This window comes from Homo sapiens, chromosome 1, assembly GCF_000001405.40.
Source record: "Homo sapiens chromosome 1, GRCh38.p14 Primary Assembly".
Taxonomy (NCBI): Eukaryota; Metazoa; Chordata; class Mammalia; order Primates; family Hominidae; genus Homo; species Homo sapiens.
The window spans coordinates 16,753,067-16,779,721 of record NC_000001.11 but is presented as its reverse complement, the minus strand read 5'-3'; the positions used below and the strand labels follow the sequence as shown (position 1 = coordinate 16,779,721).

General features: G+C 49.9%; 1 pseudogene across 1 annotated transcript, besides 5 other annotated features; it reads left to right on the top strand.

The window, feature by feature from the left end:
- Window positions 2,839-3,339: an enhancer, noted in NCBI's record as "H3K27ac-H3K4me1 hESC enhancer chr1:17102878-17103378 (GRCh37/hg19 assembly coordinates)". NCBI's record gives its function as "activates a minimal SCP1, AML or CMV promoter by ChIP-STARR-seq in primed H9 embryonic stem cells {active_cell/tissue: H9 hESC(primed)}" and the evidence as "EXISTENCE:reporter gene assay evidence [ECO:0000049][PMID:30033119]".
- Window positions 4,023-4,522: an enhancer, noted in NCBI's record as "H3K4me1 hESC enhancer chr1:17101695-17102194 (GRCh37/hg19 assembly coordinates)". NCBI's record gives its function as "activates a minimal SCP1, AML or CMV promoter by ChIP-STARR-seq in primed H9 embryonic stem cells {active_cell/tissue: H9 hESC(primed)}" and the evidence as "EXISTENCE:reporter gene assay evidence [ECO:0000049][PMID:30033119]".
- Window positions 6,489-7,478: an enhancer, noted in NCBI's record as "H3K27ac-H3K4me1 hESC enhancer chr1:17098739-17099728 (GRCh37/hg19 assembly coordinates)". NCBI's record gives its function as "activates a minimal SCP1, AML or CMV promoter by ChIP-STARR-seq in primed H9 embryonic stem cells {active_cell/tissue: H9 hESC(primed)}" and the evidence as "EXISTENCE:reporter gene assay evidence [ECO:0000049][PMID:30033119]".
- Window positions 13,783-14,283: an enhancer, noted in NCBI's record as "H3K4me1 hESC enhancer chr1:17091934-17092434 (GRCh37/hg19 assembly coordinates)". NCBI's record gives its function as "activates a minimal SCP1, AML or CMV promoter by ChIP-STARR-seq in primed H9 embryonic stem cells {active_cell/tissue: H9 hESC(primed)}" and the evidence as "EXISTENCE:reporter gene assay evidence [ECO:0000049][PMID:30033119]".
- Window positions 15,242-22,602, top strand: MST1L (macrophage stimulating 1 like (pseudogene); annotated as a pseudogene). Its single transcript, NR_171546.1, has 15 exons — window positions 15,242-15,308; window positions 18,620-18,767; window positions 18,849-18,971; window positions 19,232-19,368; window positions 19,450-19,570; window positions 19,715-19,833; window positions 20,036-20,246; window positions 20,323-20,453; window positions 20,554-20,656; window positions 20,687-20,919; window positions 21,136-21,256; window positions 21,634-21,780; window positions 21,862-21,968; window positions 22,065-22,204; window positions 22,329-22,602. The product of NR_171546.1 is annotated as a macrophage stimulating 1 like (pseudogene) (transcript).
- Window positions 20,677-21,485: an enhancer, noted in NCBI's record as "H3K27ac-H3K4me1 hESC enhancer chr1:17084732-17085540 (GRCh37/hg19 assembly coordinates)". NCBI's record gives its function as "activates a minimal SCP1, AML or CMV promoter by ChIP-STARR-seq in naive and primed H9 embryonic stem cells {active_cell/tissue: H9 hESC(naive and primed)}" and the evidence as "EXISTENCE:reporter gene assay evidence [ECO:0000049][PMID:30033119]".
- Window positions 22,603-26,655: the final 4,053 nt, after the last annotated feature.

Genomic DNA, 26,655 nt, shown 5'->3' with positions numbered 1-26,655 from the left:
TAACACGGAAGGAAAACATGATGGGTGATTTGTCCAAGATCGCGCAGCCAATCCACAGCCAAGGCTGGTCCAGTTTCCCTCCTCCCTGTCTGTTGCATCTGCTGAACCCATCTCTTGTCACACAATCCAATTTATTTCGGGGATGACTTCTCCAGTGCCACTTGGTGCACTGCACAGTGATTCTCTAATATAGGTCAAATCCCACGACAGGTATATTTCACTCCTTCTCCCCTCTTCCCCTCTCCTCCTCCCCCCTTACCCCTCCTTTCCTCCCCTTCCTCTCCCTCACCCCCTTCCCCCCCTCCTCCTCCCCTTCCTCCCCTTCTCCTCCTACCCCTACTCCCCCTGCTCTCCTCTTCCCCCTCTCCTCCTCCCCCTCCTACCCTCTTCCCACTCCCCGCCTTTCCCCTTCCCCCCTTCCTCCTCCCCCTCTCCTTGCTTGGCTGCAGCCCACCTGCCCGGCTCTCCTCCTGCCTCCTTGCTTGCTCCCTATCTCCTTTGCAGGTTCCTCCTCTTCTCCCCAAACACCTCAGACCTCAGTCTTCAGACCTCCTGCTTCTCTGTCCACACTTGCTGCCCCCATCAATGAGCTCATCCAGAGTCATGATTGTAGCTGCCTCACCAACACTGATGATGCCAAAGTCCAATCTCCAGCCCACATCACCCCCTCAACTCCAGGCTCAGAGAGCCAGCCAGCCACTTGTCTTCTCCACTGGAACGTCTACCTGCAACTCCAATGGATTGTGTCCAAAACAGAGTCCCTGATTTTCCCTCCCAAATACTGTTCACCCCCAACCCCCAGCCATCCTATCTCAGGGAACATGATATGGTTTGTATCTGTGTCCCCACTCAGACCTCATGTTCACTGTAATCCCCAATGTTGGAGGTGGGGCCTGGTGGGAGGCGATTGTATCATGGGGGCAGATTTCTCATGAATGGTTTAGCACCATCTCTCTTGGTGCCATCCTGCAGATAGAGAGAGAGTTCTCATGAGATCTGGTTGTTTAAAAGTGTGTGGCACCTCCCCCCTTGCTGTCTTGCTCCTGCTCTGGCCATGTGACATGCCCACTCTCCCTCTGCCTTCCACCATGATTGGAAGCTTCCTGAGGCCTCCCCAGAAGGAAAGCAGATGCCAGCACCATGCTTCCTGTACAGCCTGCAGAACCGTGAGCCAATTAAACCTCTGTTCTTTATAGACTTCCCAGTCTCTGGTATTTCTTTATGGCAATGCTGGAACAGCCTAATGCAGAACGTTAACTCTTTTTTCCCAGTTGCTGAGGACAACACTTGGTCTGGCACCTCACATCCAATCTTTGCCAATGTTGGCAAATCCTACTGGCTCTATTTTCAAAACATTTCCAAAACCTGACTCTGCTGCTGCCCTGATTTAGACTGCCATCCCCCTTGCCTGGACTAGCCATAGCCTCCTAATCCATGCCCCTGACTCCACCCTCATCCCTCAGTCCACTCTCAGCCTAGAGCCCAGAAGGACCCTGCAGAAACTGAAATTGGATTATGTCACTTCTCTGCTCAGAGAATGGCTCCCGTATCCTCAGGATGGCCTCTGGGGCCCTCCATAATCTGTCACCCCCCAACACACCCTTACTCTGTCTCATCTTATCTTCCCCACATCCCCTCCCACCTGCAGCAGCGCTGGTCTTCGTGTTCCCAGAACACTCTGGCCACCCTCATGCTTGGGTCTGGGCCTAGCCCCTCTTCCCGGAGGTCTCTGCTTGGCCAGTCTTCCACCTCCTTCAGGTTTGTTTGCAAATGTCACCTTCATGGTGGGAGCTTCCTCAGCAGTAGGCATATCCCTCTGCCCACCAGCCCTTCCCTTCCCCTCCACCTTCTCCACTTTTCCTCCTTGGCACTTAACAACCTCTGGCATGCTGTGTATTTTATCTTGTGTGTTGCTCTGCTTCCCCCATTAGAAGTGAAGCTCCCGGAGAGCAGGAATTCTCGTCCATTTTGCTCACTGCTATTTTCCCGATACCTGGAATAGTGCCAGGGGCTTGGCCTATAGCAGGTTGGCAATGAATATTTGTTGAATAAATAAATTAAATGAATGGCTTTACCCCATTCTAGCCTTGAGCAAGATGCCTACTCTCTCTGAGTGTTAATTTTCACCTCTGTGAAAGGAACATGACAATGGCCATCCCACATCGTCCTTATAGGGATGAAAGATAGTGTGTGCAAAAAAACCAGGGCAGTGCCTGATGGGACATCATTCATTGCTATTGCTATGATTTCAGAGGAAGGTTGAGCCACTTAAAACACGTAACCCAAACCCAGTAGATGGAGATGGTGTTGTAGATCTCAAAGCCCTCTTGGCCTGGCTGACCTCCAGGTTGGTAATCACTTTCCCTGCCGGAGGAGGGGGTTCCAAGCTAGTAAGGAGCCTCCTTGCCACTGTGTTCAACAACTCACTTGCAATTCATCCATTCATGCAGTCAACAGTATTGACGGTATCTCAGAAGCTGGGCATTCACAGACTTCGGGTCTCCCCTCACGGAGTCCATTGCCCTTCAAAGGACATGAACAGAGAGAGCTGACGTCAGAGAATGTGATCAGCTCTGGAAGATCAGGGCCAGTCTGTTGCCTGCTCCCACCCACATCTCCATCCTATAGCCTGGCATACTCAGCATCATCTCAAGGTGCCAGACAATCATAAGCAAAGCAAAACAAAAAGTGAACAACATTGGCACGTCCTGACAGTAAAAATGTCAGCTGAGGAATTTGGCCTCTTGTCTTTGAGACCATAAACAAGAGCACAAACTTTCAAGGGTCCCTCACGGTATCAGGGCTGAGTGCCTCTACCTCAGGGCCTCCCCTGCAGGCCACAGGCTTGCACTGAGGTGAGCTGGATCCAAAGGCAATGAAGGGTCAGAAGGAAAGAGGTCCTGTGGGCCTCTCTCAGCCTCTCCAGGTCAACCAAGAACTCACGGGAGCTTAAACAAAGGCCGAGGATGCTCTTGGCCTGGACCAGCCTCCGTGATTGAATGGGAAGGGCACCCTGCATTCTGGAGTTTCTGGACCACAACTTCCTTCCCCCGCTGTCTCCTGAGGGGCAACTTCCGGCCAGGTTCCAGAAGAGTCATGTTCAGGATCATGGAGAAGGACAGGCTCGAGGCTGGAGCCCACCCCCATGTGCCTTGGCCCTGCTCCAAAGCGTACCTCCACCCCTTCACCTCTCCGTTGCCATTTCTCCTGGGGACGAAGTTTTCCCTCAAATGGGTGCTCCTGAAACAGATTCACCCAAAGGATGTGGGAGGGCCTTGGAAGGGCCTTGGGTGAGAGGGCATTTGGCTCCCCTGTAAAGGCTTCAGCAAGGAGTGAATCCTGAGACCATAGTGGGCAGGGGCGGGGGCAGGGCTGGCTCTTCCCTCTATGCCAAGGCACAGGAGAGCCTGTGTTTGACTGGGGTGTTTTCCCCGATGGTGGCCGAGCTGCCAGCAGTTCCTGCAAGACCCCACTTGATGAGGCAGGGCTGAGAGGAGGTGATTAGGAGGTGCAGATTTCAGGTTGGCGAGTGGCAAGTGGCAGAACATTCTGGCCCCTAAGTCCCCTTGTTGGCATGCTCGAGTGTCTTTTCTCCCAAAGAGCTCTTCCACGAGCATGTCCAGAGAGTGTCTGCCTGGCCCCATGACCAACTCTCCTTTGCAGCAGTGGAGAGGGGACAACTTCCTCCAGGGAGCTCAGAGGCTTTCCTGAGCCACCCCTAAAATGGCAGGTGCTCCTGGGACGCAGTCTGTATCCTATGACCTCAGGTCACCACATCACACACAGGGCCTGTTCTGAACTCACCAGCTAGGCTTCCTTCGGAGCCACACACGCAGACAGTCTCCTCAGCTGGGAAATGCACCCCCAGAGAAGGCCAGGTGTGCACACGACAGGTAGGGGCTGGGGAGGAACCCCAGCTTACACCTTCACCATCAACCCAGGATCAACAATGTGGTAAGAGCTAGGGCCTTGGATGCAAGGAGACTGTGCTGGGATCTTCACAGCCACCTGACACTGGACAAGTGTCACCTCTTTGAGTTTCATCTGAGAAATGGAGGTGACGATGTGACAGTGTTGTTGTGAGGCTGGAGGAGGTACCATGTGTCCAGCATCTACCAGTGCCAGGGAGGTAGGAATTGCTTGAGAGATAATGGACACCGCCCTTGCTCATGTGGGGAGAAACGGGAGAAGGTGGCAAGCCATACCCCAAGCCACGTGTAACCCTGATGTGTGGGGAGGCTTCTCTCTTGTTGTCCACCGCAGAGTGCACGACCCCGCCTTCATTTACCAAACCCCAAAGTATCCCTGCAGGCCCAGCTCCTTCTGTGCACCTGAATTCCTGGGGCAGAGCCCACGCCCCTCCTGCTGCTTCTGCTTTGGACACTGTGTGTTTGCATTCTGAGTGTTTGCATTTGTCTCTCCACCTGTCAGCAACTGCTTGGGGATAAGGATTCTGCCTTGCTCAGTGCCCCCTCCTCAGCTCCCGTCCCCTTCCCCGGTGCAGAGGTGCCCAGTGAACGACAATCTAGCCCTCAGCCCCGGCTCTGTCTCAGAAGGTGCCAGTAGCCCCAGGGGTGACCCAAGGCACGGAGGCACATCTGAGGAAGGCCGTGGCAACAAGGCAACTTCTTCTTTCCTCCCTCCCTGTCCTGGTCACTCACTCTTTTCATTCCTGTGGAGCGCTGATGGCTGGTGAGATCGTTGTTTGTCAGCCAGAGCACAAACGACATGCAGGAAGGGCAGACGATATGTCAAAGGTCACCCGCTAAACCTACGGCAGAACCAAGATGAAAATGTGTCACCGCCTCAAGTTCAGACCAGGGATTGGCCTACCCCACACGAGCTCCATGAACAACAGACAACCTCGCACCATTCAGAAAAGATGGTGGACGCTCCGAGTGCTCAACTCGGGTCACCTCCTTGGGCAAAGTGTCTTGTCTTTAAAACTGGAACCAAGCGAGGGTATGTCCAGTCCTGGCTTCAGCTGGGAGTGTCCTGGAAGGCTCTGCCTGACCCCACGTTGAAGTTAGGTTTCCCCGACTCTACCCTGTCATGTCTCCCTGTGGTTTTTCTGTGACAGCACTTGTCACATAAATCAATGTCTGTTTTATTTGTAAAATTATTTGTTCAATGTCCAATTCTCCTCCACACTGATAGATAGGAGGACAGGGATGTATCCAAAGGGTTTAGCATACTACCGAGTGTATAATAAGCTCTCAGAGTATGCATCCAACAAGTAGTTATTAAGGTCTTCCACATGCAACATATTGTTCTTGGTGTTAGCAGACTAAAATGATACACAGGTGGATTGATGGAGAGTTTGTTAAAATAATACAAGATGCCAAACTGGGCTATGTGACTGCAATGCTTCCTATTGCTGCTGTAACCAATTATCAAATTTAGGAGCTTAAAACAACATCAACTGACTTGTCATGAAGAAAAAAATCAGTCTCACCGGGCTAGGATTGAAGCGTCCAGCAGGGTCAGCTCCTTCCAGAGGCTCTGAAGGGAAAATCTATTTCCTTGCCTGTTCCAGTTTCTAGAAGCTGCCTGCTTTCCTCTTCTAGATCCTCCCTCCATCCTCCAACCCCTCGCGCTCTGATCTCTGCTTCAGCCATCACGTCTCCTTCTCTAACTCTGACCCTCCTGCCTCCCTCCTGTAAGGACCCTTGTGATTCTTAGAAGATCCATTCAGAGAATCCAGGATCATCTCATCTCAAATCCTGAATTTAAACACATCTGTAAAGTCCCTTTTGTCATGCAAGGTAACATAGTCACAGGCTCCCGGGATTACAGCACGGACATCTTTGAGCGCTCATTATTCAGTCTACCCTGGTGACTCATGGAATATGTCTTTTGGAATCTTTTAATGAGGAAGTCTTCCTAAACTGCAGCAGTCTCTTACTCTAAGCCTCAAAACGTTTTAGTAAATTCTGCACTCTACATTTTGGAATCACATCTTACCCAAATCAGAGATTTTGGGTTCTCGTCTGCTCAGCATGTTTACGACATGTGCGTGTGATATGACTACCCGCCTAGTAGCAAGGGGACCTCTCCTGTGGTGGGTTGAATTGAGTCCCCAGCCCCAAAAGATATGCTGATGTCCTAACTCTGATGCCTGTGAATATGACCCTATTAGAAAATAGGATATAATTGCAGATGTAATCAAGTTAAAATAAGATCCTACTGGATTAGGGCAAGCCCTAAATCCAATGACTGGTGTTCTCACAAAGAGAAAAAGATTTGAATACGGAGACAGAGACAGAGACAGAGGGAAGATGGCCACACGACAGCAAAGGCAGAGACTGGAGAGATGCAACCGCCGGCCGAGAACTGCCAAGGACTGCTGGCAAGCGCCAGAAGCCAGAAAGCGGCAAGGAAGAAGTGTGGTCCTGCGACACATTGATTTCAGACTTCCAGCCTCCAGAAATGTGAGACAATACATTTCTGTTGTTTTAAGGCCCCCAGTTTGTGGTAATTTGTTACAGCATCCCCGGGAAATGAACACACCCAGTCCCCCTCCCCCGCCCCTACACCGTGGGTTCCCGTAAGCTCTCCCTGAAGACCTGCTACGGCAACTGCAGAGCACCCCTGTTTCCCAAGCTACGGCCCGTTTTTTTCACTGTCCCTGACACCGGGTGACAGGGAAAGGCTTTGCCATGGGAATGAACCATCCACTCACACTGCTTTCTGCAGACAGACTCAAAGTCACCACTGTGCAGTCAGTTTTTTCCTTGTTTCTTGGAAAGCACCTCTCAGGACCGTTTCAAGAAAAACAAATTGTGAGGTTAAGGATCTATTTAAAGTGAATCATCAGCTCTAGTTCCAATAACAAAGCAGGCCAGTCGGGTCGCTGGGACAAGACTGGAACCACTGTGAGCGTGCACTAACTGTGGGTCAGGCATGAGCGGGTCTCTGCACACACGTCACCTGGAGTGCCCCCTCCCCCTGTTCACTCGGCAGGCGGCCTTGGTGGCTGCCTTCCCAATCCTCTGCCCAAAAGGGACACAGAACAGCATGCTCACCAAGTAAGAATTTTCAAGCAGCTTTGAAGTGCGGTTCACCATCTTGGGGAGCTTAAGAGGAACAGTTTGAACCCATTTAACCCCTTGCACTATTAATCCCCAGTTGCTTGGTGAGAACTGGTTGTATGTGTGCAAAGCTCCCTGCTAGCCCTCCGGGAGCGTTGAGTCCTCAGAGTCCATGAGCAGCCTGAATCTGGATGCATCACAGATGCCTGTGTCCAGCTGGGGCTCAGAGGAAGCCAAGCACTTCTTTCATTTCAACATTCCTGACCTGTCTTCCCATAGGTGGTGGCAGTAGAATGAACCACTCATCAACTTTTTTTTTTTTTGAGATGGAGTCTCGCTCTGTCTCCCAGGCTGGAGTGCAGTGGTGCGGTCTCAGCTCACTGCAATCCCTGTCTCCCAGGTTCAAGCGATTCTCCTGCCTCAGCCTCCCAGAGTAGCTGGGATTACAGGCACTCACCACCACACCCAGCTAACTTTTGTATTTTTAGTAGAGACAGGGTTTCACCATGTTGTCCAGGCTGGTCTCGAACTCCTGACCTCAGGTGATCTGCCCGCCTTTGCCTCCCAAAGTGCTGAGATTACAGGTGTGAGCCACCACACCCAGCCCACTCATCAAGTCTTTATTTGAGCACCCCTATATGCCAGGCTCTGGCAATGCAGTGGTTAACCCATTTCTCCATGGAGCATCTGTTGAAGTGGGGGGAAGTAAAGAAAAGATTAAAACAAAATGTAAGCAGACAAGTAAATAAAAGAACTGTGGGCTGAAATAATTGTCATAAAGAAACTTAGGAGCTAAAACAGAGAACAGACGAGGCCTGACTTTTCACCAGGTGAGCAGGAAATGGCCCTGTGAGGTTACACTCAAGCTGAGACCTAAAGGAAATGAAGGAGCCAGTCAGGGGAAGACTCAGGAAACAGTATTCCTGCCAGTAGAAGACCAGGTGCGAAGGTCCTGGGGCAGCAAAGAGCTTAGCCGGCATTCAAGGACCTGGAAGAAGACCAGGGTGACAGGAGAGTTGTGAGCACAGAGGCTCCCAAGCAAGAGGAGGCTGGAGAGGTTTGCAGGGGCCAAATCATGCAGAGCTTTACTCAAGCGTGGATTTTATTCTAAGTACAATGGGAAGCTCTTGAAGGGTTTTCGTGGTGTGTGTGTGTGTGTGTGTGTGTCTGTGTGTGTGTGTGTGTGTGTGTGTGTGTGTGTGTGTGTGCAGGGGAAGGGTGAAGGGATGACATAACATCATCTCCTCCTCTTTTCCCCCTCTTCCTCCTTCTTCTTCTTCCTCCTCTTCTTCTTTTTCTTCATCTTCGCCTTCTTCATCTCTTCCTTCTTCTCCTCTTCCTCCCCCTTCTTCTCAGACGTCCACTTTTGCAGCTATGTGGGGAAAGTCGATGTGAGGTAGGCAAGCTTGCAGGGGAAGGCCTTTTAGGAAGGATGTAGCAGGAACCTGGACTTGGGTGATGGCAGTCACAAGGGAGAGAAGGCATGATCAGATATCTACTCCAGACGGGATTGATAGGATGCGCTGATAGATTGCAGGGAATGGGAGTGTTGGGGAGGGTCCTGGGTGACTGAGTGTCTGCTTGCTCTTTACAGGGGTTTCTGTCCCACCACGGAGTGGCATACCTGGCTCCTGGGCTCCTGGGTGACCCTAAGAAGCTGTCCCAAGATGACCATCAGGGCCCCTTCCATCCCTCACTTGGGTCTGGTGCAAGATGTCTCAGTGACTCTTACCTCTTGTGCAATAGGCAGTACTTTTTTCCAAATTTGATATTCTCCTTTGCATCTGACAGGGCCACTCTCCATTTTCTAATTACCGCAGAACAGTCTTGCCTGAAAGTGCCTTCCTAAGCTGGGGTCCTACCTCAGAATCAGTAGTGAGTTAGTAAATCAGATCTCTGGATGGTGAAAAATGAAACCCTAATTTGTAACATGTACCAATTTCTATGGTATAAATACCCCTGCCATGGCGACTTTGAAGCTATCAATAGTTAACCAACTCAAAAAAATCCTGAACAGTTAACACTTGGCTTTCACCAGCCTATAGGAGCCAGGCCTAGCTCAGTATCGCATGACTGCTGGCCTAGAACAGTATGCCAAACAATTTCCTCCAGCTTCTCAAAATGCACAGTTGTCCAGCGTAGAAGCAGAGTATGCAGGAGGCTTGGTGAGCTGATGTGCTGAGTCCATAGGTCTGGGAATGAATCCAGTCAGTGACTCACTGCATGCTCAAGTGTGTCTGAATAGGTTAACTTCAAAACCAAACCGAATACTCAAGGCAACTTCTCTCTACTGGTGATGTAGAACAGCCTGGCAGAACATTCCCCATGGGTAGGTTTTCTGGAATGAATGGGGAGTCGGGAAATCTGGGTGACAACTCTGGGGCTGCTGCTAGTTGGCTCAATGACCTCAGACATGTTGCCTGACCTCTCTGAGTCTCAACCTTCACATCCCCAAAATGAGAGGCAGATGATCTCTAATAGTCAGTCACTGAGTGTCTTCCAAGTGACAATCAGTGTCACTTGGTTAATGCAACACCAAGTTGCCTGAGGAACCTGTTTCTGACCCAGGCAACTATGCAGGTTGTGAAGCCAGAGGGGAGTTTGAGCACCAAGTTCAAGAAGGCAGTCTTGCAAGACTTTCCTCGAAGCAGCTCCTACAGACTGGCTCTTTCACCTTAAACGCCATAGTTTTGGATACAGGTAAGAGTCATGGGGACAGAAAAGGAAGGGAGACAGAGACAACCTGGGGAAGAATGATGACACTTGGTGACTGGAAGAGTATGGGAAATGCAGACAAACAAGAGATCAAAGAGAGCTCCCAAAGTTGTGCCAATGCCGTAGTTTCCCACACCACGCAGAACAGCAGGAGCAGCAGCTTTTGGGCTTCTCTGGCTGGTAGACTGTGTTTAATGACTGCAGAGGCTGCACCTTCCTAAGCTGATGAAGAACTTCCTAGAATGTCCCCTAGGACCCCTCCTATGAAATGGTACCAACACCACTCTGTGACTTTGTCCAGGGTCTGTGTGTGGCAAACACTGCCTACTGTGTGGGCCATGAGAGGCCATGAAGGGAGCTGCACAGACATCCCCCACCCACAGATCACAGACCACCCTCACGGACAAACATCCCCTTTGCCATTCATTCCATCTCCTCCCCAAGCACATCCTGAAATGCCTTCCTCATTCTATAGCAGGCATAGCTAATATCCTCTTTTATAACCCCAGTTCTCTCCATTTGAGGCCATATAGGTGAACATAGTTGAGAAGTCAGAGGAGGGGGCTGAGAAATGCTTAAATACCCGCAGAGCAAGGACCAGACCCTTTTCTTCCTTCCTTGTTCTCAGGCTTTTCTGCACGTACCGGGGGCATTGGCTGTTGACACGTGAAATATTGAGGCAGCCTTGTCTATGCGCTGGGCACTTTATTTGGGTGAATGTACCTTTTCAAAATCAAGATATTCTGGGGTTTTTAAAAAATAAAAAGTATGAAAATATCCCAAAACAGAAAAGAGTACTGAGGATAACCATATAAAAACAATTTAAGCTGAGAAAAATAACCCAGTCCTGTCGAGTCCTAAAGAGAACCTTGGTTTCCATGGGACGTTAGCAAAGTGCAGAGCTCCTAGCAGTGGGTAGGATGGAATGTTTGCAGCCTTTCCAAATAAGCAAATATCCCCCAGAATCCAGCATCCGTGCCCCACATGCTGTGGTTCCAATTTGCTTCCTGTTTTCAGGCCTCCCAGAAATACATGTCACAGACTTTTTATTTTCATCTCCCCACCTTGAAAAGCACAGATTTGCAAGTGTGAGTGTCTTAGCAGGGAGACAAATCCAGCAGGCATTCAAGACATTCAGGCAGGAAGAAATGCATCTCATCGGAAATTTTCCATCGCCAGCACTTTTTAAAAAATTCCCAATATAAATGGGCTTTTACTTGTAGGACGAAGGGCTCCATTATTTTTCAAATACTTTGCTGCTTCTAAGGAGCCAAGAAAATTGGTCATGCACCTGGCCAGCCGATCCAACCTCAAAAATCTTCTGACCTCAATGAAAAGGCTCTAATTTTTCCTTGCCTTTAATAAATGTTTCTTCTCTTCTCCCCAGCAGTATTCAGCATGTGGGGTGGGCAGGCAGGGTGCCCAGTTAATGTAAACAGGCAGGAACACCTGATTCATCAGGATTCTTCCCACTGCTCCAATCCAGGGGTCTCTGCTTCAGACAGAACCCCTAGGAAGAGAAGCATGTGACTTAGGACTTCAGGGGGACTCGAAGTGCAAATACATTATGGCACAGATTTAAATGTTTACCTGTATATGTGTATGTTAAAAAATCAATTTCTTAGAGATGGTTTCAAGGTGTCAGAAAAGCTAATTCAGGTAGAAAACATGTCCTTGCTCTGTAGATGCCTCCATTCTGTCTTCCAGAACCTGAGAGAGAAGAGCAAGGATTTGGACTGTGGCCTAGAGAGGGAATTTGCAGCTCTCTTTCCCAAGGAATGAATCGCAGCCCCTCAGGCTGGAACAGGCAGGTGCTGCGAAATCTGGCTGACAGGTCAGCTTCAAGGTGATGTGCTTGCTGAGTCTTCTCTCCTTTCAGCTAAGCTCTCATCACGCCCCTGGTGCCTGGTAAAAGTAAATAATGATGACTGAGCGTATGAAGCAGGAGGGTCTCTACACACCTGTAATTACTACCTAGCAAGTCCCTGCAGAACCCAGGAGTTCCCCCAGAGAGCCAGTGGGGCCGTTTCTGGAGAGAGTAAGTCAACGTGGGTCCTCCAGGCAAGATCTAGCTGGAGGAAGTAGAATTAAAACTTCTATCACTGGACGGATGTTTTGTCACTTGGCGGGAAAGTTCCAAGTCAAAGTTCCCAGTTTCCTAAGCTGTTATAAACCCGGTTGAAATGCTCACATACACCTGTGAGTGTCTCAAAACAAACAAAGCATAATCGCCTTAGAGCAGCACTGTCTCATAGAAATATAATGTGAACTACATGTTATTTAAAATTCTCTAGAAGCCACTTTTAAAAAGAAACAGGTGAGATGAATTTTAATAATACGTTTAACTTAACCAACCCAAAACATTATCACTTCCTCATGTAATCAATATAAAAAATTGCTGGTGAGATATTTTACCAAGTCTTCAAAATCTGGATGTATATTACATTTTCGGCACATCTCACTGTGGACGAGGCATGCTTCAGGTGCTAAGAGCCACACAAGCTGTGTGCCATGTTGGACACTGCAGCCTTTGAGGCTGACATTTACACCTCACCACCTTTTGAGAGCACCTGATGCATGATAGATTTCCCACAAACATTTCATATAGAAGAGTGAACCTGTTATATGTGAAGTTTTACTTGATCTGAATATACTAGTGCTCTTAATAAAATAAGAATTACTAAAAAATTTCCTTTGAATAGTGCCAGGCGGGTCTGAAACCCAGCCTTGACTGATATTTTCATGTGCTGATAACAGCAACCAAAGTATCGTGACTTCGGTTAATAATTGATTGCTCCTTGCAGGGGAAAAATAAATAAAACCGGAATCTGACTGCTCCACCCCTTAGGGCAGCTTACTAACGTCTGGATGAGCATGCTTGTGTTCTTGCACTCTCTGGGAATTAGACACAAAAACTGCCCTCAAGGACAGCACAGCCCAGGGACAGCCAGGCAGACCAATGCCTAATACTGCATGTGTGCAGGGGGTTGTGTTGGCAACAACATGAGTGGCTTTCCTGGAGTGGAGGCTCCAGCTCTGCATCCTGAAGAGGGACTAGGAGGTCCTCAGGGAGGAGGGCAGGAAGGAAACATCCAGTGGAGGAAGCGGTAGGCACAGAAGTTTGCAGCCACTTGAAAAGCAGGGAGGCACAGGACCTTAGGACCCTTCTATAGCAGTCCCGTAAGCCCAGAGGGAACCATTTCAGAGTGGGACAATCTACGGCAGCGTTGTCCGACCAAAATACTTGCAAGCCACATGTGTGATGGATTTCAGGAGCCACTGAAGGGTCAAAAGACAGAGATACAATTAATTGTAATGACCTGTTTTTAGCTTAACCCACGTTGTCCAAAGCTTTATCATGTCACCGTGTGAGATACCTCACGTTCTTTTTCATGAAGTCTTTGAAATGTGAGGTGTCCTTGACACCAAGAAGGCATGCATGAGTCTAGATGCAGTGTGTATATATAGTGAGTAGTAACCTCTGCTCACGTTCCTGGGTCCAAAAGAGAGATCAGGACAGCTTCAAGGGAGAGGGCTAGGGATGAAAAAGGAGATAATGTCGCCCACCACTTCTGAGGGGACAACAGACTGCGCCAGGCGCTGTAACCCGGGGGAAACGGAGGCAGCAGCTTCTCCCACGTGCTCCCAAAGGTGTCCGTGTCAACAGCATTAACTACCAAACAGAGCACTGAGGAACATTTGCTAAATGCTGCCAAGTGCCCGGACACCAGATCACAAGGCTGGCCCAGAAAAGAGCAAGTGCACCTGTGGGGGAGGAGGGCAAGTCCCCGTCGTCGGTCATCCCAGGTCACAGGGGTGCCTTTCCCTCCACTGCCAGGGAAATGCACATGCAGGCTGCCTAATGTGGAAATGTTTGGATCTGGAACAGAGAGGCTCTCAGGCCGGCGGGGAGGAGGCAGGGTGACAGTAACCAGCCGCACCGGAATGACGATGGGGAGCGCTGCACCTACGGCTTGCCAAGACCCCAGCAATATCTTTCCTACTAAGTCTAGCAGTGCCTGAGGCTCGCCTCCGAAGAACAGCCTCTCCCTTCCGCCTCTGTCTTCTTTAAGGGAGAGGGAGTGCAAGCCAAACCCAGCAAGCACTTGGACGCCGCCCTGCTCTCCCCGGGGCTCTGGGCTCTGCAACAGATCCGCTTTGTGAATGAAAGAGGCATCTCTCCAAGATGGCGCGCTCTACCCTGAGGGCACACCATGCACACGCCACTCCTCCAGCTGGTCTCGGGGACTGCAGTCCTTCTCTCCTGGATGGGTTGGGGGTGGGGGGCTGTTGAGAGCTTTCCTCCTCCTTTTCTTCTTCCTCCTCCTCCTGTCTCCCTAACCCTGGAAGGGGGCCATCCACTGAACTTCGGAAAGAGGTCACCCTCCCTGAAAAGGGGACTTGGATTGCTGCATCCAGAGCCACCCCCTGTGGTCCCTCAATCTAGCCACACTCAGTTGCTAAAGCAGGGAGAGGTTTCCTAGTCCGGTGTTCCGGCCCCACGCAAACGGAGCTCAGGATGACGCCACATGTGTGTTTGAGTCAAAGCGCTTTTAACTGTGGCTCCAAGAACAGCCTGTACAGCCACTTGAGTTTCCCCGTAACAAGGAATGTACAATAGATGAGACTTTACTGGCAAAACAATTTTTAAAAGTAAAGGGAGAAGCAGCAGCCCAGCCTTGTCTCTTTATAGGGTCCTAGAGAACCGGTGGTGGCTGGGTTGAAAAGCACAGCGCTTAGCCATTCAGCAGTTTATGACCTCAGTTTACCAAGTCCTTGTAACAAGGTTACCGGAGGGGTTTTGCAAGCTTGTAGACCCAGGTGTGGCTGAAGTTGAGCTGCTCAGGGACAGTGGTTTTCTTGCCATTGGGAGAAGGTTACCAAGAATAATTTTCCTGCCCCAGGACTTGTAGATGATTAACGTGTTTCTTTCGCTTAACCAGAGAGTTAATGGTTATTCAAAGCACTCTTTGATAATGGAGGCTGGAGGGGAGAAAATGAATGCGTTAACCATTAATCCAGGGAAATGCCACAAAAATTAAAATGGAAAACACTCAACCTGGGAAAGGAATTCACTGGCTGGAAGGGTCAGCCAGGCAAACCTGGTGAGGAAGGAGGAAGAGAGGAGGCCAGAGGGAGGCCTTACAGTTCACGTATACTTAGAGCTGGGTTTTGTTATTTTTTGTTCCGTTTCCTTGTTTCATTGCTCTGAGGAAACAGAGTAGAAATAACAAAATCACAAACATGGGAACATTACAAATAAAGTCAGTTTTATTGGTCTTTTTCCTCCAGCCTCCCACAGCTGAGCCTGTCTGACTTATCCCCTGTCTGACTTGTTCCCCGGCCTCTTTGGGGAGCAGGAGGGGAGCTCAGGCAATCCATGCTTGGAGAAAGTCGAGAGTGTTTTTAGGAGGCTGGTGCTGACAGAGGGCATGCAGCTCTGGCTCCCGGCCTCTTCTTGGGGCCACACTGGCCAGCACCCAGGCACAGCCATCATGGCGCCTGCCCCAGTCACCCTGCTGGCCCCTGGGGCAGCATCCTCAATGTCTTGCAGCCAGCCCGGTGCAATAAACAGGAAGACTTCGGGGAAAAACTCCTGCTTGGCATAGGCTACTCCCAGTCACCATCTGGGACACGTCATGATGAGCTATGAGCTGGCACCAGTGGGAATCTCTGATGAAGGTTGGGACTCCCCGAAGCATCACACATGTGTGGAGCATTCTCTAGTAGGAAGACCTTTTTAGAGTACAAAGGCCAGATCCTGCCCTCAAGGGGTTTACAGGCCATTAGGGAGATAAAACAACCTAGGGCAAGTGCTGGAGATGCAGCATCAGCCAACTGCTGAATACACTCAAAAAAATGAGAGCCCACTGGATTGTCTGGGAGCCTCCTAGGAAAGCTGAGTCCAAGCTGGGCTGGGAGGTTGGATAAGGCTGTGGCCGGGAGAAAAGGGAGAGGCAAGGCAGAGAGAGAAAGGAATGGCAGAAATGTGTAAGGAAGAGACCTATTTGAAGAAGAGGAGAGAAAAGAAATTAACACTTGGAAGATAGGTTTGGGTCTGTCTGTGGGAGCCTCGTTGCCCAGCTGCATTTATACCCCATCACTGGCACTGTGGGGAGTTTTGAGAGGAGAGTGAAATTAACAAAGTGGGGCATGGGAGGAGGGGGGGTCATGAAGGATGAGAGCAAGCAAGTCACCATGTAGTTACAACAGTGGCCCAAGGGTGCTCTCCAGGAACATGTGGGGCATGGGAGCCCAGGGCAGGAGGAGGGCTCCGCTTCCTCTGTGCTCTAAAAAGGGAAGGGATCAAGGGGTGAAGATTCCAGCCCCTTTGGAAGTGGAGGAGGCTAGGGAAGAGCTCTTACTACAGGGAATCCTGTTCTCATGGACCTGGAGGCCAGGGCCTTTGCTGAGAACATGGCAGGGGAGGGCAAGGGCTCACAGAGGGAAAATTCAAAAACTCCAACAACTACTGGGAAGGAAGTGGAGTGAGGAAGGGATGAAGAGAGTGAATTTGTGGGTTCGGTGGACAAGGTTTTCTGGCTCTTCCTAGCATCCCAGGAGTTCAGAAAGCACAGGGTAAAAGCCACTTACTTTCTCCCTCTACTTTGATGGAGGGTTGACTATGGGCTAGTGCTGGTCTAGGAACTGAGGGGAGATGAAGGGCCTCAGATACATGTTCTCTGTCTTCACCAAGCTTGTTGCAGAGTGAAGGTAAGAAACATAGTACAATTGCAATAAAGAGAAATGGACATGGGTCCTGCCCATTTGAATCAGAGATTGTTAGAAATACAGACTTCTGCCAACTGATTAAATCCCACCACCACCACCACCGCCACCATTATCAGAAACTTTCTTGGCACAGGGCACAAGCTTGTGTCTTTTTTTCAAGGCTAGTTCTAACACACGGTGTAACATCCATGAGTCAGATTGTCTTGGTTTCTATCCCAACTTTACCACTTACTGACTCTATGTGTGTGTGACTGCTCTTGCCTCAGTTTGTTCATCTAAAAAATAGGATAATAGCAGTACCTACTTCGTAGGATTAAATGTGATCTTTCTTATAAAGTCCTAAGAAACAGCCTAACACAGCAGGTGCTTAGTAACTGTTGGCTGTTCGCTAAAGGGCATGACTAGGGTTGTGGTAGGGGAAAAACACGGTGCTGTGGGAATCCAGGTGGGGGATCTAACCTGGACCTGAGGGTCAGGGAAGGCTTTCTGGAAGAGGTGACTTCCAAGCTGAGACATGCAGGAGAATGAGGAGTGAACCAGGTCGCATGGGTGAAAGCGAGAGTTTAAGCAGAGAGAACAGCAGGTGCAAAGTTCCCAGACAAGAGATCCAAAACCATGGAAGGGACTGACTGTGGTTTGGTGGGGCTGGAATGCAGGGCGAGGCAGGGCTGTGGAGGGGCAGGAGATGCCCAGATCCTGGAAGTGTTTGAATTCTATCCTGAGAGCCACAGGAAGCTGCTGCAGGGCTTTAAGGAGAGAGGGATCTGATCTGTGATTCGAGGCATCCCTCTTGCTACGGTTTGAAGAGTCGGTTGAAGGCACAAGCCCAGAGCCAGAGGCGAGTGAGGAAGAGGTTGACATGATCCCAACAAGGGAGACAGAAGGTCTGAACTAGGAAAAGGGCTGTGGAGAGGGAGAAAGTGGGCAAACTGACAAGCACCTGGGTGGCCGATGGAAGTGGGGGGCTCAGGAAGATGAGCGTGCCAAGGGTGGCTCTGGACTTGGGTTTGAGCAACATTTCCACTGGATGGATGTTGAGAAAGGGAAGATGGAAATGGAGCACATTTGGGGAGAGAAATATAAATTCAGGTTTCAGTACATTGAGATTTTTAGTGCTTATGAGATGTCCCAGTGGAGATGTCTGTCCACTGGGCAACTGGACATCAGGCTTTGGTGCTCAGGACCTATGGTGGGTTGTAAATATGTTTTTGGAAACCATGAGCATTTAGAGCTGAGGCTGAGAATTGACATAATGTTCAGTGAAGACTAGGAGATGCAGGAGGGGGTTCATAGGCTCAAGGAAGCAGTAAAGGAATTGAGTATATGAAACTTCATACATATGTTGCAGTCAACATAGTCATATAATTAGTTAAGATGAAGTCATCCTGGAGGAGTGGCTCCCACTCCTGCTGCTTCTGACTCAATACTTAGGGGTCCCTGGTGAGTGCCCCCAACCCTGATCCCCATCTGCCTTCAGGAGGGGGTTGGCCCTATTCTCCTATTCTGGGATGAGAAAAAAGTCGGGGAGCCAGAGGCTCAGTGGGCATGGGGCAGTGACCTTGGCCTCTTGAGCACAGCTGGGAAGCCCTAGGAACACACAGACACGGCCCACTTAGGCCTCTATTAGCACGTCTGCTCTAGCACTGAAGCAGTGTTAGGACCACACAGATGCACGCACACAGCAGGAAATGACCCCTCCTGAGCCTGATCTACCCCTCTAACCTAGCGTATGCCTTTGTGCAGGTGAGAGCCCAGATTTGGAGTCTGAATGCCTAGCCAGGGCCCCTGGCTGGGTAATGTGATGGCTCTGAGCCTTAGCATTCTCATTTGAGAGATGAGATGGGGCAAGCTCCATCACCCACTGCTCTCACAGAGCGTATGTGTTAGATCTGAGCCCAGTGCCTGGGCCACTACACAGAGGCACCGGTGATAACTACCAAGTCTGGGCCTGCTTCCCAGGGGAAATTTTTTTGACAAGTATCTGTGCAGGGGGGCTAGACTGGCCCTTGAAAGTGCATACAGGGTCCATCCCAGAAGCCTTGTAGCTTTGATCCCCTGAATGAACAAAGTGTGGACATGCCAATACACATTACTGACATGTATGCCCACCTGACCTGCACCCACTCATGCCCACTCTGCAGGGCAGCGCTCGCCATCGAATGACTTCCAGGTGCTCCGGGGCACAGAGCTACAGCACCTGCTACATGCGGTGGTGCCCGGGCCTTGGCAGGAGGATGTGGCAGATGCTGAAGAGTGTGCTGGTCGCTGTGGGCCCTTAATGGACTGCTGGTGAGTGGCCACTGGGCCTAGATAAGACTGGGGGCAGGGGAGCCTGGGCCGTGGCGTTACCCTGTGCCTTCTTCTCTCCAGGGCGTTCCACTACAATGTGAGCAGCCATGGTTGCCAACTGCTGCCATGGACTCAACACTCGCCCCACTCAAGGCTGTGGCATTCTGGGCGCTGTGACCTCTTCCAGGAGAAAGGCGAGTGGGGGTGGAGAGGGGCAGGGTGGGAGACAGGGGACCTCAGCCCAAGTTGATCTTCTGTCTCTTGCTCCCAGACTACATACGGACCTGCATCATGAACAATGGGGTTGGGTACCGGGGCACCATGGCCACGACCGTGGGTGGCCTGTCCTGCCAGGCTTGGAGCCACAAGTTCCCGAACGATCACAAGTGAGACAAACACCTTCCCTCCGTCCCGGCCTGGGACCTTCCCCCAGCACACACTATAGTGATGCTCTGGGCCCTCAGGTACATGCCCACGCTCCGGAATGGCCTGGAAGAGAACTTCTGCCGTAACCCTGATGGCGACCCCGGAGGTCCTTGGTGCCACACAACAGACCCTGCCGTGCGCTTCCAGAGCTGCAGCATCAAATCCTGCCGGGTGGGTAAGCGGCGCCGGGTCAAGCTGGGAGAGTGGAGGGGCAAGCCCACGCCCATCCACGAACCCACTGGCTCTTTGTCTCCAGCCGCGTGTGTCTGGTGCAATGGCGAGGAATACCGCGGCGCGGTAGACCGCACCGAGTCAGGGCGCGAGTGCCAGCGCTGGGATCTTCAGCACCCGCACCAGCACCCCTTCGAGCCGGGCAAGTACGCGTAGGCGGTATCGGCGCCCTGGGGGCCGGGCTAGGGAAGGTCCAGGACTCCAGGGGCAGGGCTCCGTGTAGGGCAACTGGGCGGGGCCAGATAAGCCAGAGTACCAGGGTCTTCTTCACGCCCCATTACCGCCCCCAGGTTCCTCGACCAAGGTCTGGACGACAACTATTGCCGGAATCCTGACGGCTCCGAGCGGCCATGGTGCTACACTACGGATCCGCAGATCGAGCGAGAGTTCTGTGACCTCCCCCGCTGCGGTAGGCGGCGGGGACCAGGCCTGGGAGGGTACCTGGGAACCTTGGGGAGGGGCGTGGCTTGGCCGGGGAGGTCAGAGGGGCTGGGCGTGACCTGAGAGCATATCCCGTGGAGTACCGTACACCTGGGAAAGGCGGGTTTGGTCCCAGCCCCAGAGGGATCTCAGCTGTCGCTCGGGGCCCGACCTATCTCGGTCCATCTAAGGGTCCGAGGCACAGCCCCGCCAAGAGGCCACAAGTGTCAGCTGCTTCCGCGGGAAGGGTGAGGGCTACCGGGGCACAGCCAATACCACCACCGCGGCGTACCTTGCCAGCGTTGGGACGCGCAAATCCCACATCAGCACCGATTTACGCCAGAAAAATACGCGTGCAAGTGAGGTGGGCGGGGGGGCGGGCGTTGGGACGTGCTGCTGCGGGTGAGACGGGAGGAGGGTAGTCACGGGCTTAGGGCTGGAGGCTGGCGGGCTAGGGCTGAGTGGAGCGCCTGCTTAGAGACCTTCGGGAGAACTTCTGCTGGAACCTCGACGGCTCAGAGGCGCCCTGGTGCTTCACCCTGCGGCCCGGCACGCGCGTGGGCTTTTGCTACCAGATCCGGCGTTGTACAGACGACGTGCGGCCCCAGGGTGAGGCCCAAGCTTGGGGGCTACAGAGCCGGGGCTGGAAGCCTGGAACCGGAGGGCCGGGGCGAGGTCTCGGCCTGATGGCTGCCCGCACCGGCCGCAGACTGCTACCACGGCGCGGGGGAGCAGTACCGCGGCACGGTCAGCAAGACCCGCAAGGGTGTCCAGTGCCAGCGCTGGTCCGCTGAGACGCCGCACAAGCTGCAGTGAGTCCCTGGTGCTCCCGGCCCCGCCAGGGCCCTAACCCTGGGGCGGCATGCTTTGATGTCTGGGACCAGAGCCTGGAAATGGTTGAGACTACCCTGCCACGATTTTGCTCCCGCTCCCGCCTCGGTTCACATTTACCTCCGAACCGCATGCACAACTGGAGGAGAACTTCTGCCAGACCCAGATGGGGATAGCCATGGGCCCTGGTGCTACACGATGGACCCAAGGACCCCATTCGACTACTGTGCCCTGCGACGCTGCGGTGAGCACTAGTGACGCTTGCCCCATGACCTTACCTCAGCCCTCACCACCAAAGGCTGGCTCCCTTAACCCCAGTGAACTTTGTCTTTCAGCTGATGACCAGCCGCCATCAATCCTGGACCCCCCCAGGTTACGAGTTGGGCCAGTTATGGGTCAGGCCCTTTAGCCCACGACATCCACACAGTCTGGGTTTCATCCAGCCCACCCCATCCTACAGACCAGGTGCAGTTTGAGAAGTGTGGCAAGAGGGTGGATCGGCTGGATCAGCGTCGTTCCAAGCTGCGCGTGGCTGGGGGCCATCCGGGCAACTCACCCTGGACAGTCAGCTTGCGGAATCGGTGAGGCACAACTGCCTGTCTCCCACAGAGAGGAGCTGAGGTTGTGTCCTCTGTGGTTATGCCACTGGGGGCTGGGAATCTATCCCTGCCCCCAGAGGTCCTAGCCAGAAGATGGCAGGTCTAGCATCTGTCCCAGGAGTCTGTTCCCTGTCCTAATTCCCCACTCCTCTAGGCAGGGCCAGCATTTCTGCGCGGGGTCTCTAGTAAAGGAGCAGTGGATACTGACTGCCCGGCAGTGCTTCTCCTCCTGGTGAGCCTCCCTTGTGTTTGGGGACCCAGTCTCATCCCACTTTCCCCTTTCCCCAGGCAAGCTAACAAGTGAGCCTTGGGGCAACGGACTGAGAGTCACAAATGACCTAGCAGAGCTTCTCTCCCAGCCATATGCCTCTCACGGGCTATGAGGTATGGTTGGGCACCCTGTTCCAGAACCCACAACATGGAGAGCCAGGCCTACAGCGGGTCCCAGTAGCCAAGATGCTGTGTGGGCCCTCAGGCTCCCAGCTTGTCCTGCTCAAGCTGGAGAGGTATGTGGACAACCTGGGAGGATGTGAGGTGGGGCTGAGCCTTGTGGCCTCAGACCCTGAGTGCCCCCATTCTTGTTAAAGATCTGTGACCCTGAACCAGCGTGTGGCCCTGATCTGCCTGCCGCCTGAATGGTATGTGGTGCCTCCAGGGACCAAGTGTGAGATTGCAGGCTGGGGTGAGACCAAAGGTAAGAGCATAGTGCACAGGACTGCTGGTGGCCAGGAGGCCCAGCCCTGGATCTTCCTCCAGGACCGTCTCCTTCTCCCCATTCCCCTCACTGCAGGTACGGGTAATGACACAGTCCTAAATGTGGCCTTGCTGAACGTCATCTCCAACCAGGAGTGTAACATCAAGCACCGAGGACATGTGCGGGAGAGCGAGATGTGCACTGAGGGACTGTTGGCCCCTGTGGGGGCCTGTGAGGTTGGTGGCAGGGCCCTGGGCCAGCCCTGGAAGGGTATGGGGGGCTAGAAATGAACTATTTTATCATGAAGCAGGCTAGTCATTGCTGTGGCCCGGGGCCCTCATCAGTTCTCCTACCTGCCAGGGTGACTACGGGGGCCCACTTGCCTGCTTTACCCACAACTGCTGGGTCCTGAAAGGAATTAGAATCCCCAACCGAGTATGCACAAGGTCGCGCTGGCCAGCCGTCTTCACGCGTGTCTCTGTGTTTGTGGACTGGATTCACAAGGTCATGAGACTGGGTTAGGCCCAGCCTTGACGCCATATGCTTTGGGGAGGACAAAACTTGTAAGTACAGTCAAGGACAAGACTTGTACTCAAGGTTGAGATTTAATAAAATTAATATTTTTACTACTTCACCAAGGACTTTCTTAAACGAAAATGGTTTTTCCCCCTGCAAGTAAACAGTAATGAAGAAGAGAATTATTCCTAGTGCAGTTTGTTTTCATGGTCTTAATTTTTGCTAAGACTCCACTGTTTTTGCCTTATCAATACAAGTGCCAACACAGTGAAAAGGCAAATATCATCTTAGTATTACTCTGAAAATAGTTCTGAGCTAATGGCCTACTGAAAGGAAAAGAGTGGCTCCTGCTATTCTATTAGACTTATTACAATTATCTTAAGTATTCTTTCTACCCTCCTTTAATTGAATGGAAACAGGGATGGATTGGAAGAGCTGTTTTTCTCCTTTCTTTCCCCCGGCAATATTTACCATTTAATGCCACTTACTAACACTCAAAGAAACAAAACCAAACTTCTCAATTGACAGTGCAGTGACCCAACAAAGACACGGGTTCTTGAATTCAAAGTGGAGCAGGAGAGACGGTAAATACACATTTACTTTAATATATATATATTTATTATTTATGTGTTTAAAGCACAAATTAGTTTGGTAAAAAACATCTCATGTCTGTTTTATTTCCACATCCCTGAGACTGACAATGGGATGCCTATCAATTAATTCATTTAGAGAGCCATACACCACAAGAAACAAATTATTTGTCCTCTGGAGCTTGTCACAGGGGGATTTTTAAAAAACCATTAAACAGAAAGACAACTGTGCATCTTAGAAAGATAAAAGGCCAATTCTTCCTCTCCGGCTGATAGGTTCTTAATAATAGTGATATCTACTAATAAGGTGTTTTACATAGTGTAAAGCATGTTCACATACAAATTACTTAGCCTCTTTGAGCCTCAGTTTTCTTATATGTAAAACTGGATTAATAGTACATTTTGTGTTTAAAAAGATAATGTATATGAAGTGTTTACCATTTTTGCTTGGCATCTAGTTCAGTTCTCAGTAACTGATGTGGTGGTGGTGGTGGTCATAGTAGCAGTAAGATCCGTAGTAATAGTAGCAGCAGTTGTTTTAGAAATTAGTAACTGAGGCCTGGCAAAGTTAAAGGCTCTTTCATTAACACCCAGAGGGGAAGAAATGAAGCTGGTCTTCAGAGGCAGGCTATTTTCACTCTGTGTCCCAAATTTTCCCCCCTAGACCGTTTTTATACTTCTGGGGCCTCAGAAAATATTCTCAGCTATTCTGTTAGCTTGATCTCCTACCATCTGAGAGTGGGCTTCCTTCAAACAACCAAATTTCCAGGTATTTCTAAACTGCCCTTCCCCTACACCATTCTTTGGTTCAGTATTTCAAGACCCCTAAGAGAAATGGTACATTTACATGTAAGCACAGGATAGTGAAGTATTTACAACAAGTGCTTTGGAGCCAGCAAATATGAATCAGAATCCAGCTTTCCTTTCCTACATACATGACATTGGGCAGCTAATTTCTAAGATTTTACTTCTTTATCTATGAAAGTGGAGTACTAGTACTTGCTCTGTGCAACTGTGATGGTTGTTACATGAGGTAGCATCTAGAAGCAGCTTGCACATTGCCAGACACCCAGTGGAAGGTCAATGAATGACTATTTGAGGACTAACTATTACAGAAATGTTTACTCTTCTGAGTCCTGATTTCTAGTCTCCTGGACTAAATAGGTTCACTGTTTTCCTCCCGGTTCAGTTTCCAGACACATCACAGAATTATAAGAATATTAAAAACTCAGGCTTATACCTACACAGGATTTTCTATAACCCTCTTTCTGCTTTGAGCTCCTAAAGGTATTTCATAGAAAAATGACCTTATTTTTAAATAGAGGGGGCAGTTGAAAATCAGTGAACGGGCCTACCCCCTAATGATTTTTTTCTCAGACCTAATTATAATAATTAGCATTATAAAGTGCTAATTATCTTTGGACACAGAGGACCTGCACACCAGAGACAGAGGTCCGCATTAAGTAAAGTGGATTTCACTTTCTTCAGTTGTGAGATTTCTCTTTTTTCTTCTTTGTAATGATGCAAAGATATATCTTCCACCAAGCCTCATTTAAAAGCTTTTTCCAGTTAAGGAAACTATCTCTTGGCCATCCACAGCCAGACTGCATATTGAGATTATGGATATTCAAAGAAATTGTCTTTCCTTTGTATATTGTCATAACTTTTTGTGAAATGTTCGTTTTATAGTTCCAGGCCAGCACCTAGAACCTGGCTAGAATAAAAAACTGCAGAAATCATGAGTTTCTTGTTTGGATGAAAGAGCACACCTATTAACAAATGATAGACGGCTATCCTACTGTGAGTCCTGAAAACTGGTGGTGTGATTGTTGAATGGGTTAGGGGTATAGCAGAGAAACTCAGTGTGGGCTACATACAATTTCAGCTTGAATCACACTTAACAGATCCTCTGTTCCAACCATTTAAATTTACAAAGAAGAAACTAAGGCACAGAACTACTTGAGAAGAGAAGCAGAATTGAAAACTAGAGCTCCTGATTGTTCTCAAAATAATTTTTATCATACTGCATCGGGTTCTAAGTGAGAGGGCTTCTTATTTAGTAATGCCAAGGTCATGTGTTAACATGTAAAAAAAATTAGACGAGGAATGGGGCATTGGTGTAAGGTTATACAGAGTGTAAAGTTGGGCTTTCTCTTATCATCTGTTGTCAACAACAGGATGATTGTTACTGTTACCCACTCCTTACCATCATTCACACAGAGACATTGGATATTGAGGAGAGACTTTAAAACAGAATATTAGTAATGCAGAGCTATAAAGAGCCACGATCATATTAATACAATCCTCCATACACATAGTGACCTGTCTGCAGCTCCAGCCTAGAGAAACCCAGTTATTCACTTGTAGTGGGCAGCCCCATTATCAGAAAGCGCTATTCAATTGGAAATGCTCATCCGTGTTAGGTCAAAAACGACTTCCTCTAAATATCCATTCTGTGTATTGAAGTATAAATGAGTCCCACTTAAGAAAAAACAAAACAAACCAACTTCCAATGATTTAAAAATACTAACGTGACCCTCTTACGTTTACCTAAAGCTAGTGTTTCTCAAACATCAGCTGTATCAGAATCCCTGAAGGACTTGTTAAAACAAATTGCTGGTCTCTACTCTGAGCTTCTGATTCATTAAATGTGGGATGGTACCTGAGAATCTGCATTTCTAACACGTTCCCAGGTGACCCTGATGCTGTTGCTCTGAGAACCACTTTGAGATCCACATCTCTAAGCTCATCAGTCTGTCCGTTACACCTTACAAGACATACTTTCCTAATCTGACACCCTTCTATTTGTCTTTTTCTGGAATGCTTTAGAAATTTAGCAGTTATCTTTTTTATGTATTTTACATTTGTTACAGCTTTCCTTGGTGGACAGATATGAGTTTTCTACTTGAAAATAAACACGTTTTTCTTTAAAATATCATTAAATAAGAGTGTAATTAGTGATATAAAGCAAGATGACTAAAAAGAATCTCATTATTATGTTTGCACAGCCTGTATACAAATTATTTGAACTAGAAAGGATTTGCTAAATAAATTATTTCTATTTCCCTCACTTAATAGTGAATATTATGGTGATTAGGGGAAAAAATAAGCTTTCTTTTTTCTTTTGAGATGGAGTCTCACTCTGTCACCCAGGCTGGAGTGCAGTGGCGCGATGTCGGCTCACTCTGTCACCCAGGCTGGAGTGCAGTGGCGCCATCTCGGATCACTACGCCATCTCGGCCTCCCCAGCTCAAGCGATTCTACTGCCTCAGCCTCCCAAGTAGCTGGAATTACAGGTGTCCGCCACCATGCCCAGCTAATTTTTGTATTTTTAGTAGAGATCACCATGTTGGCCAGGCTGGTCTCGAACTCCCGACCTCAAGTGATCCGCCTGTCTTGGCCTCCCAATATGCTGCGATTACAGGCATGAGCCACCACGCCCAGCTAAAAGAAGCTTTTCTGATAGTAACTTTGTTTTCCCATTCTGGAGTTTATGGCAGTATGAAAAAGACTGAATTTATAAGCAGAAGATCTGTTTTTGAAATCCGGGGACCTGTATTTCACAATGGCTTTGATGTGTT